This window comes from Homo sapiens, chromosome 11, assembly GCF_000001405.40.
Source record: "Homo sapiens chromosome 11, GRCh38.p14 Primary Assembly".
Lineage (NCBI taxonomy): Eukaryota > Metazoa > Chordata > Mammalia > Primates > Hominidae > Homo > Homo sapiens.
The window spans coordinates 125,370,519-125,388,157 of record NC_000011.10 but is presented as its reverse complement, the minus strand read 5'-3'; the positions used below and the strand labels follow the sequence as shown (position 1 = coordinate 125,388,157).

General features: G+C 50.3%; 1 protein-coding gene across 28 annotated transcripts in view, besides 1 other annotated feature; it reads right to left on the bottom strand.

Annotated features, from left to right (window-relative positions):
• Positions 1–17,639, bottom strand: part of PKNOX2 (PBX/knotted 1 homeobox 2) — a 268,639-nt gene that overhangs the window by 45,232 nt on the left and 205,768 nt on the right. For 23 of the 28 annotated variants that reach the window (NR_168082.1, NR_168078.1, NR_168080.1 and 20 more), the window contains one exon: positions 2,436–2,607. The exons of the other annotated variants lie outside the window; for them this stretch is intronic. Coding sequence is in view for 19 of the 23 variants with exons in the window: in NM_001382333.1 (NP_001369262.1) it covers positions 2,436–2,607 (172 nt within the window). In the remaining 4 variants the exon portion in view is untranslated. The remainder of the gene's footprint in view (positions 1–2,435; positions 2,608–17,639) is intronic. 28 annotated transcript variants of the gene reach the window in all.
• Positions 15,367–16,246: an enhancer, noted in NCBI's record as "H3K4me1 hESC enhancer chr11:125241808-125242687 (GRCh37/hg19 assembly coordinates)". NCBI's record gives its function as "activates a minimal SCP1, AML or CMV promoter by ChIP-STARR-seq in naive H9 embryonic stem cells {active_cell/tissue: H9 hESC(naive)}" and the evidence as "EXISTENCE:reporter gene assay evidence [ECO:0000049][PMID:30033119]".

Sequence of the window (17,639 nt, the reverse complement as noted above, 5' to 3'; positions counted from 1 at the left end):
GTGGGGGTGGCAAGGGGCACTGCTTGACTCCCCACATCAAGTTTCATGGTCCCGGCCGCACGGTCTCTTTGGTGGCCAGGATATGAAGTTGAGGAACTGGAGCACCTTGACGGAGGGGCCCTGCACTTGAGATTAACCTTCCAGATGACAGGCATTTTTAAAGGCCATTTCCCAGTGCCATCTCATTAATTTTGTATTACCATCACACGAGATAGGTGTGTTAGATCTACAGATGAGGAAACCGAGCTTCAAAGGAGTTAAGTCATCCAAATCACACAGACAGTAGTGGTGAGGCTCAGATAGCACTCTTTCAAATATCTCCATTTACATAATCAGCCAGTCAATCAACCAGTCATTGACCATGGCTAACTCAACTAGATAAATCAGGTGCACCCAAGTAGATGGAATGTCCAAGGATTGCTCCACTGGCTGGACACTCCCAGCCCAGTGCCTGAGATGGAAGACCAGGGAACGCTGGCAGTATGGGGCCACCAGGGCAGCTTCCACAGCAACCACATCCCTGGGTCAGGCCTGGCATGGGGCAGACACTCAACCAAGTTCTGTTAGATTGATTCTAAATATGATTCTTTGAGTGAACAGAACCCTGGGGAACCTACCTCATGTTGGCCAGGAGAGAGCATGGAAGTGGCCACCTGGGCGTTTTCCAGGCTGAGCTAGGATGGGAGGCCGTTCTTGGTGGGTCTCCAGAGCTCACCTGGCAGGTGGTGGTGGGCAGGGCATGAGAAATTTGTTCCCCCAGAACTCCTCCCTCTTAAGAAGGTATAAGTTATTTCACATTAGCTACCCAGTTTACTTTTTGATATTTCCTTACCAACTTAGGCCTCAGTTTCTTTTTGTGTCAAATGAAGGGAGTGGGCCCCACCCCCCAGGTCCATCCCAGCTCCTACAGAAATGGCTGCGGCATCTCCTGGCCCCCTGGCTGCCATGGGTCTAGGTTGTAAGGATCTGCTCCCCGACTGCAGTCTATGGTTCTGATCAGCCGGAGCACAGGGCAGAGCAAAACCAGCCTGCAACTGGAGCACCTGCACAGGGCAGCTTTCCCATGGGACCTGAGAGACAATGGCCTGCCTCCTGGGAAGGGGGCTGCCAATCCCAGCCAGGGAAACGGATGCCCCAGGATGAAAAAAGGTGGCTTTGGGGCTCTCGGATGCCTTCACTGACCCTCCCGACAGCAAGCGAGCCCTTATCCTCTGGCAGGGCCTCCTCTGCTCTTCAAACACTCCACCCATCATGACACTTCACAAAGCTTCTGGCTAGGGTGGGCTCTCCTGGCAGCTCTTCTGGACTCCATACAGTCACATATTCAGCTCTTGAGAGAAGCGGTGGTGTGGATAATTCACAGCACAGAATACCAAAGCCAGTTACACCGGTTCTGCAGATGCAGTGTGTGTGTGTGTGTGTGTGTGTGTGTGTGTGTGTGTGTTCTTTTTCTTCCTTTCTGGAACCACATTTTCTTTTCTAATTCTGTTTCCCTTTTGGAAGTAGGTACCAGTTAAACTCTAAATGCAAGAGGATAGCACTATCATTAATCAATTTGTGGGGGAGAATTTTTACAGAGTTTCTAAATTCACTGTGCATAACCTCGGTAATCCACCCACAAAAATAAAGAATTGTGGTTAATAATTCCAAGATGACTAGTTAGAGTAATGGACAAACAGAGAAACCTCTCTACTGCTCTCTCCACAGAATTTCCAGAACTAGATGAGAATTCAGATGTCATCCAACTCAGTGGTTACCAAACCTAATGACAATTGCAACTGCCCAGGAAACTTTTTAAAATGCAGATTCACAGGCTCCCACCAAACTCACTGAATCACAATTCCCAGGCGGTGTGGCCTAGAAATATGTATTTTTATAAAACTGTAGTTATGCTCTAGTTGACAAATTAGGTTTGGGAAGCTGATCTACCCTGTCCCCAGAATGAACAGGTCCTCCACTGGTCTCCTCAGCACATCGATGTCAGGTCTTTCTCTCGATTAATGTGCTCCAACACATTAATACCTTCATCCTCCATACAGTGGCACATCAACTATTAGCTCCTCTCTGGACAGCCCAAGACAGATTTGCTAACATGCCAGGACTCCAGGACTCAGAACAGCTACCCCAGATGTTCTGGCTGTTATGACCCTTCTTTCCTCCTGTCTGCACTGTAAAAGGGTGGGTGCTAAGATGCTAGTGCCACCCTGGGCATAGATGGGCAGAACTTTGGCAGCAAAGCCTGTGCATGGAACTCTTGGTTTAAGGCACTTAGAAATGGTTGTTGGCTGCAAGACTGGTGCATCTAGTGCATGACTCATGGTGGGCACTCAAAACCTTTTGTTGGTAAATTAATGAAAGGATCATTTCTAGGGCATTTTGAAGGGGGTCAGAGGGTAGGAAGACTCTAGCCAGGGTAGAGGGTGGAGGGTCTTTACCAGATTGTCCAGTTCTGGGTCATCGCTGAAGAAGGGTTTGTGCTCCTGTTCCTGCTGGTGGACAAAGTTCTCGATGTCCACATCAAAGCTGGCGGAGGTGATGCACTCAGAGCCCTGGGTGGCCTGTTCACATTTCTCAAACAGCAGCGTCAGGAGCGGGAAAAGAGGGTGCCTGCAGGGACATCAAGAGCTCACACATGCGCACACACAGAGACCGTGCTGCTACCTGTGCTCAGAAGCCACCAGGCTCCCCTGCCCACGTTCCCCTCACTTCTCCCAAGGTCCCACTCCTTGATAACATCCCCAGTCCCTATGGTCAATCTAGATGGCAGCACTTTGTGCCTTGGCAAGGAGGGTCCACTCTTCCAGCTTCTGGGCTTAAGAGGCTTCTGTCCCTACCCACTGGTCGCCTACCTTTTCTCTTTGGTCAGATAAACTGCATGAATATTTGGGGAGGGATGATGGATTATAAACCTTCCAAGAAGTAGGTGTCCATTTCTGGCTCAGAGTCAACCTAGGAAGGAAATGTGGGGAGTGTCCAGAGAAGTCCTGGATGTGAACATTCGTGGTAGGTCATAGATCCATTCTTGGCTTTCTGGAGCCAGCTAAGGGTGGCAGATGTGCACAAACACTTGTGTGCTTGCAAGTGCATGCAGGAGACATACGTGAGCCTGAAGACTCATCCACACGTGGTGGGCAGATGTGTCCACCTGTCCTGAGTCTTGGTAGACTCAGTTTAGGTCAGATACCCCAGTGTGTTAGGTCATCACACAATGATGCAACGATTATTTACATCACTATGTGATGCAAATCATTTGCTCACTGTTTCCCTCTGAGACTCTACCTGACTTAGTGATCCTGATATCCCTAAGACCTTGGCATGCATGCTCATAGCAGACACTTAATAAATATTCGGTGAATGAAGGAATCAATGAGTGAAGAGGGTATGTGTGGTGGTCGGGGCGGGGGGTTCTATGACATCTAGATGTGAGCCAAAGTGTTTACCTAAATGGCTCTATGGATCTTTTTGTTTTTTTTGAGACGGAGTCTCGCTCTGTCACCCAGGCTGGAGTGCAGTGGCTTGAACTCGGCTCACTGCAAGCTCTCCCTCCCTGGGTTCACGCCATTCTCCTGTCTCAGCCTCCTGAGTATCTGGGACTACAGGCCTCCGCCACCACGCCTGGCTTATTTTTGTATTTTTAGTAGAGATGGGGTTTCACCATGTTAGCCAGGATGGTCTCGATCTCCTGACCTCGTGATCCGCCCGTCTCAGCCTCCCAAAGTGCTGAGATTACAGGCGTGAGCCACCACCCGGCCTGGCTCTATGGATTTTATCTTGGAGATCAGCAACTCTTGAAAGCTTTTCTGACTCCTGACCCCCATTCCCCCACCGCCAAACCTACACTCATAGTCCCTGAGTTGTTTGTTTTATTGTCTGCCTTCCTCACTAGACTGTGAGCTACATGAGGGAAGGAATCTAGCTCACCTTATTTATCACTATATGTCCAAAGTCTAGTCAGATGTATGCGGATCTCAAAAAGTATTTGGGAAATATATATGTTTTATGTGTGTAGGTGTATTTGCATGTATAAGTCCACAGCACCTTTATTTCTACAGTATGTGTGCATGCGAGTGCATGGGTTGTTGACACTGGACTCCAGAGAGTCCCATTCCCTTCCACTGCAGTTCCAAAAATGCATCTCACAGCCCTCTCTGGTCTGTCTCCCCAGGCTCCTGGAACTATGCAATGTAGGTTTTTGTTTTGTTTTGTTTTGTTTTTTTTGTTTTTTGATGTAGTCCCATTTGCTGGGCAAGGAGGAGGAATGTGTGTTGGACTTGGACCTGGCCCCCATGCTTCTGCTCAAGGGGATGGTCTAGCCAGTGCTGTGCAACAGAACTTTCTGCAATGGTGGGAATGTTCTGCAATCTCCACTGCCCCATATGGCAGCCACTAACCCCATGAGGCCAATGGATACTTGAAATATGGCTGCTGTAACTAGGACTCTGAACTTTTAATTTTACTTCATTTTAGTTACTTTAAATTTAAGAGGTTACATGTGGCTAGTGACTACCATACTGAAACAGTAAGTCTTTGTTTGTTTGTTTTTTTGACAGTCTTGCTGTGTCATCCAGGCTGGAGTGCAGTGGCATGATCTTGGCTCACTGCAACCTCTGCCTCCAGGGTTCAAGTGATCCTCTTGCCTCAGCCTCCCAAGTAGCTGGGATTATAGGTTCCCGCCATCATGCCTGACTAATTTTTTTTTTTTTTTTTTTTTTAGCAGAGAGGGGATTTCACCACTTTAGCCAGGCTGGTCTAAACTGTGACCTCAAGTGATCTGCCTGCCTTGGCCTCCCAAAGTGCTGGGATTACAGGTGTGAGCCACCACGTCCTACCGAGAACACAACAAGTAAGGCAAACAGGCAATGGTCTCCCCTCCAGCACACCGTGACGGAGCACACAGAGAAGGACTGAATATCTAGCTTACATGGTATTTGTAAGTGGGTGGGGGAACCCCTAGGAGCCTGTCCATCTTGGAATTCTAACAATTTTGGACAAAAAGACAAAGTGCGTACCCCCATCCACACTCACACTCGCATTTTATGAGTCTTTCTACTCAGACTCAGGGGTGGTGGGGGAGGAAAAGAGAAATTCCTGCTCCAGAGGAGCTGCTGGGCTTGGCAGAGCCTGTCCCTGCACACTCTCTCCCCGACCCTGGTTTTGGAAGCCGATGCCTAAACTGCTGGGCCCCAGGGCTGCAGACTCGGTGTGCAGTCTGCAGAAAAAAAGGGTCAATATTTAAGGGTGGCCTATTTGCTGCCCCAAACTGCCAGGAGATCCATTGAGAAAGATCTACCGGGAAGCTGGTAGGGAAAACAATGCGTTAGCTTAGCCATTCGGCTGAAGACAAAGAGAAAACCAGGTGAAGGGGTTAAACTCCAGTATAAGTCTTCATTTGCAGCCACTAATACTGCAGCATATTATAGTCTAATCTAACCTGATCCCAGTTTAATGCAAGATTCTCCTGGCCCTGAGTGGAATACCAAAGAAAGCCTCAGTGGCTGTAATTTAAGCAGAGCCCTGCAGTGGTTTAGCTGAGGGACATGAAAGGCAAATTCCAGACGGTGTTATGAATTATTGCGCCTTATGAACCTCCCTACTCTCAACAGATGCCTGCTGCCATTTAAACAGCCACTAGATCAATTAGGAATGAAAGGCACAAATCGACTCTGTACAAGGGCACTAAATTACCAGGAACTAATAATCCGCAGCATCGTGCCAGGTGGTGGGGGTGCGGCCCCCGCTGCAACCCCGTGGCAGCTGCGGTCACCGCACATTCCTTTCTCACTGGTTAGTTGGAGGGAGGGGACAAAGTGTGTGTGTGCTTGTGTGTGTGTGCGCGTGCATATGCATGTGTGTGCACCAAGGTTATATGCAGGCTGTCAATGAGAACAAGTGTTGTGTGGGGTCCTGTGTGTTTTCATTGTGTGCACACGCAGTGTTGTGCTAATGCTGTATATAAGCACAGATGGGTAGTGTATGTAACTGGGGTGCTGATTTTGTGTGCTGTGAGCACAGTGTGCATGTTCTCTGTGCTGTTTGTATGCAATATGTGTGTATGTGTACAGGGATGGTGTGTTCTGTGTACACAGTGTGAGTGGCATGTGGGGTAAGGACGGGACATCTGCCACGACTGTGTCCCCCAGCTACTAGCACTAGGCTTTGGGTAGGGAGAGGAGGGTGATCTCCTCTGCTTCTGTCCTTGCTTCTGCAGGGAGGAGCAGCTTTTCTTAGAGTGGTCAGGGAGAGCCTCTCTGCGGAGGTGACATTTAAGTTAAGCCTCGGATGATGAGACGTAGTCACGCAAGGAGCTAAGGGACTGGCGTTCCAGCAGGAGAAAAAGCAAAGCATTTGAGACAGGAATGAGCTTGCATGTTTCTGGAACAAGATGTAGCTGAGTGTGGCTGAAGCCAGGTAGGCAGGTGGGGAGTGGAGGGAGAGGAAGTTGAAAAGGCAGCAGGAGTCAGATCATGAGGTGCCTCGTGACAGAGCTGGGCTTGCAGGGATGGGGTGGGAGGCATTGTCACATACAGCAGGGAACATGCACCTCCTCTGCAGAACCACAGCCAGGGTCTGTCTTCTAAACCTCCTTCACTTCCAGGTGTCAGATCTCCCCAGAATGGCTATGTGTATGTATGTGGGGGCATATCTGGGGGTGTCTTCTGTGGCTCCTGCTGTCTCAGAAGAAAGGAACATGCTGCCCATCCTTCCCTCCAAGTTAACTAAGAGTCTATGGAGCATAGGGCAGACTTTACAGGTACTGGCCTGGCACCCTCTCTCCAGCTGCTCTGCAACCTGAGGACTGAGCAGTCAGGGTTGGAGGGCAGGGTACTGTCAGCCCCCAGATCCTCTCTTCTCCTACCCCAGCCTCCCCATGCTCCAGCGTCTGGCTCCTCCCATCCCATCCCAGAGCCCTGTTGCTCTCTCAGAGCTCAGACAGCATCTGAGATCACCCACAGCTTTTCCTGTGATCCATGGTCATGGTCAGCGGGGCGCCTGTGGCTCCCATGCTCCATCCACCTGGCCCACTTGATAAACCCAGACACTACCTTCTACCTCATGCATGGGGATACCTGAGACACTGCACTGCCCACTGAGAGACACGCTCCATTTCTCAGCGACTCCGTGGGTTTTGTGGCTGCAGCGTGGTCCTGGGCTTCTCGCAAGCTGTTCCCAACACAGTTATGGGAGAGTCACCTCCCCTTCCCCAGGTGCCCAGCCTGTACCTGCCTAAAGGCTGACTTATATTGTCTAAGCTACCCTCCAACATCACCCCCTAAAGCATGAGAGGAGGCTGGCAGCCACTTTGGAAAAGTTCTTCCCAGCAGTCTCGGCTGCAGGCTTGGGGGTCTACCCTGAGGGCAGAGCCCATGAGAGCTGCCATCAAAGCCACCTGTAATACAAATGGCCCTGTGTGAGCCAGGGATGGGTGGGGAGAAGGATTCCCAGTTAGAGGAGAGACTTTGGCCTTCCCTGAGCCTCAGTTTGTCCCACTACAAAATGGTTTTTCAGGAGTGCTTCTTCCTGCTGTCCAGATATCTTCCACTGTGGGTCCACATCCTCCATGGGCTAGAAGCAGAGATGTGGACACTTGGTGTCCAGTGCCGAGTGTCGATGATGATGAGTGGGATGTGAGGAATGGTCATTAGACTTTATATCCAAAGAGCTGAGGACATGTGACCTCCATAAGAGCTCACCTCCTCCCTCCCAAACCCCTTCTTCGCTCTTCTCTCCCCATGTCGCCTCCCTCCCGACCGCCCCCTCCACCCCAATCTCTCTTAAGCCGTTCAAAATTTGGAGGAAATAAATCTCTCTGCACTAATTCAGTGAGCGTTTGAGCCTCGTCAGTGCAGAACAAATAAAAGGAGTGAACTGGCATGACATTTTACTGCAGAAGAGAGGTCGTTTCCAGCCACTAATAAAAAGGATTTGACACAGACTAATAAAGAGAAATGAATTTCTCTAATGGCCTAATTTAGCACATTCAGCTCTGCGCCTCCGCCTGGGTGCCGGGAGGGCGGGCGCCTTCCCCAGGAGCGCGGACACAGGCAGGCAGGAGGGAGACGCAGCTCAGCTCAGGGAGAGGGGAAGAAGAGATGATCGCGAATAACATTTTATTATTTCTTTTCTCCTTTCTGAGTCCCCCATCCCACCCTCCACCCCCTACCCTCATCACCTCTCCCCAGGAGCATCTGAACTAAAATCAAACTTAAGATATGCAGTTCTTGTTAACGATCCAAAGAAATAAAGAACCCCTCTCCACAGAATTGCAGTCTTGTGCTAGCTTAAGAAGGTGATTAAACCAGATGTGTTGATTTCTACAGGGGTTTAAGCCATCGTTGGGTTTAATTACTTCTGACATTTCTGCCTTCGTGTTTTTTACATCACCCAAATTTGCTGGTCTGGAATGCCCAGTTTGGGGCCAAGGTGTGTGCAGCTGTCCCCGGGAGAGGCGATTAGAGACAGGGCAGTATGTTGGCTGCAGCCCTGTGCAGAGGTTAGCACCACCCTCTCTCTTAGTAACAGAGAGGCTGAGACCCCTCAATCAACACCAAAGCCTTGGAGAGCATCATGGGGCAGGCAAGATTCAGCAAAGCCCACATATTCCTCCCCACCTCAAGACAGATATTCTTAACATAAATCGGGCTGACAGATTGCCCTAACATTTTTAAAGGCCTTCAGGAATGGACCCCGCAACTTCCTTGGTAACTCTTATGCTCATATATAACTTAAACTTCCCCTATGTGGCTGTGGCTAATTTCTTTTTATTAAAAGACTCAAAAAAAGATGGCTGGGTCCTTGGCTGGGCATGGTGGCTCACGCCTGTAATCCCCAGCGCTTTGGGAGGCTGAGGCGGGTGGATTACCTTAGGTCAGGATTTTGAGACCAGCCTGGTCAACATGGTGAAACCCTGTCTCTACTAAAAATACAAAAAATTAGCCAGACATGGTGGCACGTGCCTTTAATCCCAGCTACTCGGGAGGCTGAGGCAGGAGAATTGCTTGAACCCAGGAGGTGGAGGTCGCAGTGAGCCGACATCTCGCCACTGAACTCCAGCCTGGGCGACAGATTGAGACTCTGTCTCAAAAAATAAAAAAAAAAAAAAAAGAGAAAGAAAAAAAAGGTAGTTGGATCCTTTTTCATTTCTCTTTCTTTCTTTTTGGACCACCTGGGTTTAAAAAAAAAAAACAAACATTTCTTCCTTCTTAGGGGAGGAGTAGAAACAGAAGCAGAGACAGAAAAGAAGTTAGAAAGAATGCAAAAATACAGAGCTTCAGAGAGGCGAAGATGCAAAACACAAGGGAGCCAGAGAGTGGATATGCAGACAGAAACAGCACCAGCCATGAGCGGGGGCGAGGGTGGTCACCGGCAAGGGGAGATGTGAATGCTGAGTTCTCTTTCTGGGTGATAAACTTTGTGATTCACAGTCATGCCACTCTGTCCCTTCTAAGCCTCTCAGCCATCCCTTCCCTTGTGACCTTGGCCAGGACTGCAGACCTCAATTATGGGTCCAGCCAAGTGTGTGGCTGCCTGCCTGGGCCATCCACCTCCTTTCCTGTGACTGACCTTGGAGCCCCCCGGCTCCTTCCGCACCTTCCTTACAGCCATTCTCACCCTCTTGGGGGTGGGAAGAGGGAAGCCCAGGGTCAGTGCCCACCCCATCCCTGAACCCCTGCTGCTTCTTCCAATGGGGACAGGGGAGACAGAGCCTCTGTCTCTTCCTGTTGGGCCAAGGATGGATGATCCAGAGGTGGAAGGCATGGGAGAACAAGATTTTTTGGTGGACATCTTCAGGCATGGGCCAGCAGGACCAGAGGCCTGGTCAGGGTCCCACTGCTCAGAGGACACAAGGCTGTTGGCCGGTGGGGTGGGGTGAGGTGGGGCACGCAGGGATCGGTGGCGCTCTGGCTACCAACCTATGCCCTACCGGCACACAGTGAGTGGTTGTCAAGTAGCTAAAAGTTCGCCTTTCCAGAAACTCTGCCTGAGGACTGGCGTTCTGAGCCTTTATTTCTTAGTGCCCAGGCCAGACACCACTGGGATCTCAGAACCAGAGAATAGCCTAGAAACTACTTTCCCAAACAGACCCCTAACCCCTTCCTGGGGCATCTGTTTACCGCAGATGGTCCACAACAAGTGCCCTTTCAGAGGAGGGCAGTAAATTTTCTCCTGGATGATGGTGAAATGAAGCCAGCGCTCGCAGATGGGCGCTCCAGGCTCTTCATCATGTGGCCTCAGACCCTTTTCAGTATCTCTCCTAGATCAAGCTTGTCCAGCCCGCGGCCCATGGGTGGCATGGAGCCTAGAACGGCTTTAAATGTGACCCAACGCAAATTCGTAAACTTTCTTAAAACATTATGAGATTTTTTCTTTTGCGTTTTTGTTGTTGTTTTGTTGTTTTGTTTGTTTGTTTTTGCTCATCAGCTATTGTTAGTATTAGTGTATTTTATGTGTGGCTCAAGCCAATTCTTCTTCCAATGTGGCTCAAGGAAGCCAAAAGATTGGACAACCCTGTAAAAGGACTCAGCAGAGAAAGGTGGTGGCTGGAAGGAGAGGGCAGGCGGACCCTGGTCCCTGGAATGGTCACTACTGTCCTTCAGCAGCCCGTGGAAAGCAAACTTCTGTGCCTTCCTGTGCCCATCTTTGCCCTTTGCTCTCGTGTGCCCATGACTTTCTTCCTGCTGCTCCTTCCACCTGAATTCCCTGCTCCTGTGTCTCTTCATGTCCCCTCCAACGACCTCAGCATCCAGGCCAACATGCCTTCTGTGCAGGCTCCCCTCATGGGTCTCTCCAGCAAGAGAAACCATCGCCTCCTCCGAGCCCTCACAGCAAATGCTAGGGGTTTCTTCCTTGACCTCACTCACAATTTAGGGTGGGAAGCTGGGTGGTCTGAAATAAGCTACACTTTGGGTAAGTTACTGAATTTTTGGAGCCTCAGTGTCCTCTTTCATTAAGGACAACACCTCCCATGCAGGTTCCTGTAAGAATTAAATGAAGAAACATGGAGAGTGTCTGGCACTTAGTAAACTATCAATTAATGCCTGCTCCATTTCCCTGGAACGGTGCGTGGGCACTTTTTAAATTCAGGGCAACACTGACACCATCTACTCCAATAAATTTATATTCCCATCTCCACTGACTCATTTGGCTGGGAAAACAAACCCACATGCCAATTCAAATAGAGGCCCAGAAAGAGGAGGGAGAGGCATCTTACAATTTATCAGAACTTCGAACCTCGTTTTCTTTTAACCGAAAAAGGACTGCCAATAGAAATTTATTTTTATTTATTTTATGACACTTCTTAAACTCTACTAAGCACAGTCGTTTGTGCACAGGACTGTCTTCCTCATGGCATGGTGGGCTCCTCCAGTCGGTGACCACATTTTCTCTCTCTCTGAACTCCCAAGGGTTAGGCACAGTATATGGCACACAGCAGAGGATCAATACATTTTTGACGAATCAGTGAATGGGAATCAGTGAATGAATGAGTGGAGTAAGCAATGACTATTGGAATGAAGGTTTTGAGACACAATCCTCAAGTTCTTTCAGGCTCAGAATCCATCCATACTAGGGGGACTTGGAACAGATTTTGCCATCTGGCAGCTTCTAGTCACAGTTGCTACGAAAGGACCTGCCTTCTTTGGGGCTCTGCTGGGGGCTGCCTGCAGAGAGGGTGGTGAGGTCTTAGAGGGAGGGGAGGGAGTAGGGAGGAAGGTGCTTGTCCAGCCCTCTGCTTCTCCTCCCCTTGAAAGCACCAGATGGAGAGAACAGAGGGGGGTGGGAGCGAGCCAGCGGCCCCTGGTTGGATGTATTTTTACTTCAGGTGTGACGTTGAAACCATGCGGGTGTATTTTTAGTCCTGCCCAGTGGGCGGTGTGTTCGCCTGGGTTGCCTTGGAGAGGACTTCTTCGAGTTGCTAAATTGGAGCTGCATCTGTCAGAGCTCCTGGGCTCCAGCCCAGCTCTCCTCCCCCAGGTGGGTGGACAGGTCCATTCCCGGCAAGTGTGGGGCCCAGGGCAGGTCGCAGTCTACTCAGCCCTCCTCCCTTCAGACACATGCACGCACACACTCCTCCCGGCACATTAAACGCATCTATGTGAAATCTCAACACAGTGAAAGTTAAAACTGCTCTGCGAGGGCAAAAATACAAAGAGCCTGATACATGAGACCTGGTGGGGATGTCGCGTCCAGCCCCTTCAGAACAAGGCGAGGTGACTCTGGCAGTGAAAAGAGAAGTGCGACAGACCCCATGACACGAGTTTACCTATATAACAAACCTGCTCCTGCACCCCGAACTGAAAATAAAAGTTATAAACAAAAGAGAAAAGACAAGTGTCCTTCCTGAAATTAGGCAGCTAGTGAAAGGCGATCAGTGATTCCAGCCAAGTCACCAGAAATTCAGCCAGTCCCCCTAGAGAAAGAACTTCAAGGGGAAGAGATGCTGTGAGGAGGTGAGCCCTAACCACGTTGTCTTGGTCACAGTCAAGGACTAAACACACACCCACACACACTCAGTGGCACTTTGTAAAGTGCTCTTATATGTGCTTATTGCATTTTGATACCCCAACGGGCTTCTCATTCTCATTTCACTCATTAGCAAACAGATGTGCTGTGTGGTTAAATGACCGCATCAGGCTATGCAGTAACTGAGTTGAGATTTAAAATCCAGGTATTCAAACTCCAAATCGTGTGCTCTCCCCTCTCTCCCATGTACTACTTGTGAGCAGTTACTGAACTCACTTCATCTGCCTTCCCCCTTTTCTCTACTGTTCTTGAGTCATACACATCCTGGGGTCCAAGCACTGAGCTGCCAGGATTACCCTGGGAGCCACGAGACTGTTGCTGTATGAGAGAATCTCTGCTTTATCCGGTGAGTTTCCAAAAGAACCTCCTCTTGTAATAATACTTGTGTGTGTTTGGAGAGGCCTTAACATTTTTACAGATCTCTCCTCTCCTCGTTTGATGCCTACCCTGTGGGGTAGGAAAGCTTATCTAAAGAAGTTAAAGATTTGCCCGATGATAGAGTCAGAATGCAGACTAAATTTTCAGTTCAGGTTCTTCCCACTCAACCATGAAATGGATCAGTGCCTGGGAAAAGCAGAAAGTGGCACTATGGTTAAAAGACAGGGAAGCTGGCTTAGCTCAGGCCCGGTGAGAAGCCACTGGCCATATGAACCTTCATGGCCCCAGCTTTCTGTTCTCCTCCCACCCCACCCCACCCCACCCCATGTCATTTGCACTAGCAGGAGGCCCAATTGCTGGTTGTCTTCCTTCTTGTAAGGGGGACAGACCCGGTGCAGTCCTTCTTCATGAATGTAGATACCATTCACCAAGAGCCTTCTGTGTGCCAAGCACTGCCAGCTGTTAGCATTGGTTATCTCATTGAATCCTAACATAACCTTGTGAGGATAAAAGTCATCAGATTTCAGGACTCCTGGATCTTTGGTCTTGGCGGGGACCCTGGATGATGGAGCTCTACCTAGGTCAGGGAGGTGAGCCGTGGAAGCAGCACGACCAACCACTCCTGAGCACACCTGCTCCCTGAGCAAGACAGCTGCAGCCTCTGGGCCTGTCAGCATCAGTTGCAAGGCTGGGCTTGGTGCGGGAGGCCTTATGATGCCATAGAAAGGGCAGGGAATAGGCTTTGCCTGGTACAGAGGAAATCTGAGCATGGTTTCACTTTTCAGATTATAGCTCCAGCAGGATCACCCCCCTGACTATAGTCAGCAGCTGAGATGTTACCTCAGGTGCCAGTGAACCCAGCTGCTTCAAAAAGCAGGGACTATCCACCAGAAGAACCCCCATCCCACAAAGCCCAGCCAAGGACACAGCCTGGAACATCTGCCCACAGCACCTAGTAGTCCAGAGGCCCTGGCACGAAGCATCCGGTCCTAACTTCTCTGCTTGGAATGGCTGCATGTCTCCCACACCATTCTCAGGCCACCTCACCCAGCACATTCCAGGAATGACCAAGCCTAATGCCAGGGAAGGCAGAGGGTTAAGCCCCAGGGTCAACTTCACTGGAGCCAGAACACTCTTTGGTCACAGGGTGGAAGAGTTCTCTCAAAGACACTTCATTAGGAAGTTCCAGTTCCCAGGGTCCTGACCAGGCGGCTGCTACAGAGGACAGTCACACAGGACCCAGCCTATCTGTCTAGCCTCAAACCTGGAGAGATTCCTCCCACCCCATCCACCAGCCCAGCCCCAGGATTGGTAGCGTGGCTGTCATTCTCTCGGGGCTCACCTCCCTTGGGAAAAGCAGTGCAACTCTCCCACGCTACACTGCAGGCCTGAAGCTCTGCGGTCAAATCCACAAACACTTTTTTGAGCCCATGCTGTGTGCCAAGTTTATGTCACAGCTACTTTCTACGCCTATCTTTCCCTCTGTCCCTGCACAGGACCCCTTTCCGAATTTACCACAATGCCTTACGCATGCTGGAGCTCAGTTCATAATTAATTGAATTGTAGAGTGAAGACCACTTGACTGGAAACCTTTGGCAGCCCTGCCTCTTGCTGCGCCGCCTCTCAGCATTTACCTCCTGGCTCACAAGCTCCTGCCTGACACCAATACATCCAACAGCGGCTGACACCCACAGAATGTGGACCACCTGCCAGGTTCTTTACCAAGCACATTACCTGTGTTATCTCACTTAAACCTCATGACAATCTAGATGAGGAGATGGTACTATTTTTAGCCCCATTTTACAGATGAGGAAACTGAGTCACAGAAAGTTTTAGTGTCCAGTGATGGAGCTAGAGTGTGAACCAGGCTGTGCTCGTGACCCCGATCCTGTCCCCCCGAATGTACCAGACTTCACATCCTGAATGGGCCAAAGCAGCATATGCTGGCTCCTCTGTTTAAAATACCCCAGTCTACTGAACACTGATCTGTATGCCATTTATTATCTTATTGTATTCTAGCTATTATCATTTTTCTTTTTGATAGTTGAGAAAACAGAGTCCCAGAGAGATGAGCTAGCCGATGGTGACAAAGCCAGTTCTCACCAAGTCTATTTCTAGAGCATGATTCTATTTCCCACTGCCCAACACAGGGCCATGGCTGCATTTGCACCTCTGGCTATAGGGCTGTCAGGATCATGCCGGGAACTTCCGTGACCTTTAGGATAGTCTCAAGGGAGTGATCTGAACACTGCCTACTGTCCTGCTCTGTTCCTCCCCACACAACTGTGGATTCTGCCATCCAGTCTGCATGAGACAGAAACAAGTGCATTATAAACAGGGCTCACATTGCTTTTATTGAACTAGAGCTGGACTTGAGCATGAGCTCTCTGGTGGTCCCATGTGGGTAGAAGTTCTGAGCTTGTGATGTGTGGGAGATGAGACTGACAGAATGAACTAGACACATGGTGTGGAAAGTGCAAGATTCTCAGAGCTAAGAAACTAAAGAGGAGGCAGAAGAATGGTTTGAAGCAGGGTTTCTGGAGCTGCGAGGAAGGAGATCATTCGCTGATAGACCAGGAAAGGCTTGAAAGCCACTTGGAAAAGATGGAGAAGTTTGGAGTGAAGATGGGGCTCTGCTGAAGCAGATGGAAAGAGACAGACTGCCTTGGCATTTAGGTGGAAAATCATCACTGAAGACACTTATAAAACACCTATCCACACCAGGTGCTGTTCCAAGAGTTCATTGATTAAGAGAGAACATTTCAAATTTAGAACCCAGGAGTGGACCAGATAGGACAGTGAGGACCAAGAATGTAGGATTGCAGCTAAAAGTATCAGTAACACCATTCTAAAGAACTGGCCTGTAAGATGGGCTTACGCATGTAAATCTAGAGACTGTGCGCCTGGAACCTGGCTCCCTAGGTGGGGTTTGGGCTTTGAGGCAGCGAGAGCCTCACGTCTTCCCTACTGCTCGGTGCCCTCAGGTGGGCGGTTTGGGATGGGCCATGGTATGAGTATTTACATCACGGGGATCAGCAAATGCTACGAATCGGAGCTGCTCCCCTTCCCCGCCTCGAGAGACGTTTGCCGGCACATCAACCTAGAACTATGGTATATTTATGGGGTGCTCCCTAACCATTTAATGAAGCCGTCCAACAAGCTTTGATGCAGTAGCTACTTCGTCTAAGCTGCTGACTCTAAGGTATCATGTAAGGTGCTGGGGATAAAGCAATGAGCAAGACAGACGCAGACCCTGTCCTCTGGAGTTAACAGTATAGCAGGGGAAACAGAAATAAGGTTGACACAAATGCTAACACAGTTAATTCAATTGTGAGTAATGCCACAAAGGAGACAGGCAGAGTCCGGAAGCCACCTCACCCTCTATCCCTGACCTGCAGCTCCACTCTCTGGGTTCTTAATGGAAAGGCAAAGCACCACTGCCCTCACTGTCTTCTCACTGCTCATGCCTCCAGCCCAGCTTTTCCTTATCAGTAATGGGCAACAACTTTAGCACCTCCGCGTCCCTGGTTCTCGGAGAGAATCTTTCAGCCTTAGGGAAGTGAGCCAACACCTTAGCAGAGCAGTCTTCGCAAAGCCAACCTCCTCCCCCACCCGCACCTGGCCAGGCCTAGCTCCTGCCCCTCTTCCGCTCCTCAGGACACCATGGTTTCCATGGGAACCCACTCACTTCAAAGGGGAACGAAGGAGACTGGAGGGGAGGAGGGGGAGGGAAAGCTGGATTAACCTCACCCTCTTGGCCCTGCCTCTGCGCCGCTGGCAACCTAATCCCCTGATTTAGGCAGCCCCTAACATCGGACTCCTCACCAGCATGGGCGGGTGGGGCTTGTGGTTCAAGCTAAGCTTGAACTTCTTTGGGAGAAAACCCCAGGGTTGAGGTGGGGGCTGGGGGAGGAGAGAACTGAGCTGGGTCCAAACCTGTGGTCCCTCACTCCACCGGCCTCCCCTCTTTGGACCCCCTCTCAGTGCTGCTCCTGGGCCACAAACACAATTACCCGCGATGTGCATCCAATCATGGGATCTGCTCGGATTAGACTGCAATCATTAATCTGAGCCGGAGCCCCTGGTTGCTTTGCTGATTAGTCCAGATGACGCTCTGGTATGATCCAATTAAAGACAGACGCTGCCCTCCGTCCCCCACCCCACAGTTTCCACATCAGAAGGGAACCAGTACATTTCATTAACACATCCTCATACACAAATAAAACCTCCCGGGCACTGGCAGGCTCCCTCCCCTTTGTCACACTGCCCCTCTGCCACCGAGCAGTGTCCTAGGCAGGGAGGGGCCACACCCACCCTTCCTTCATCTGTGGTTCTAGCAGGGGCCATGATGGGGGCTCCCAAAAGCCAGTGTGGGGCACTCATCTGAATGGAAAGGGTCTGGTTACACTTATTGACATAAAATGCCGACTCCCTGATGTGCTTTGGAGCAGCCAGGCTGCCCCAGGCAGGCAAATCTAATTAAAATTACCCGACCCTACAGGAGGCTGAGCTCCCTCCCTGGTCATCCCGGGGCAATGGCTGCAGAGAGGGCGGCTGGTACTAATGGGTGAGATGTGGTTGTAGGAGACAACCCTGGGGCTGCCGGGCCAGGAGGCAGCAGCAGGACTAGAGAGATGGGAAGCCAGCATGGTGCTGCTGTCAGCTCGGTGTCCTGAGGTGCTGGGGCAGCCGCGTTTGCCTGGGATTCCCTCTTCCAGGTCAGACAGCTGCAGACATACTTT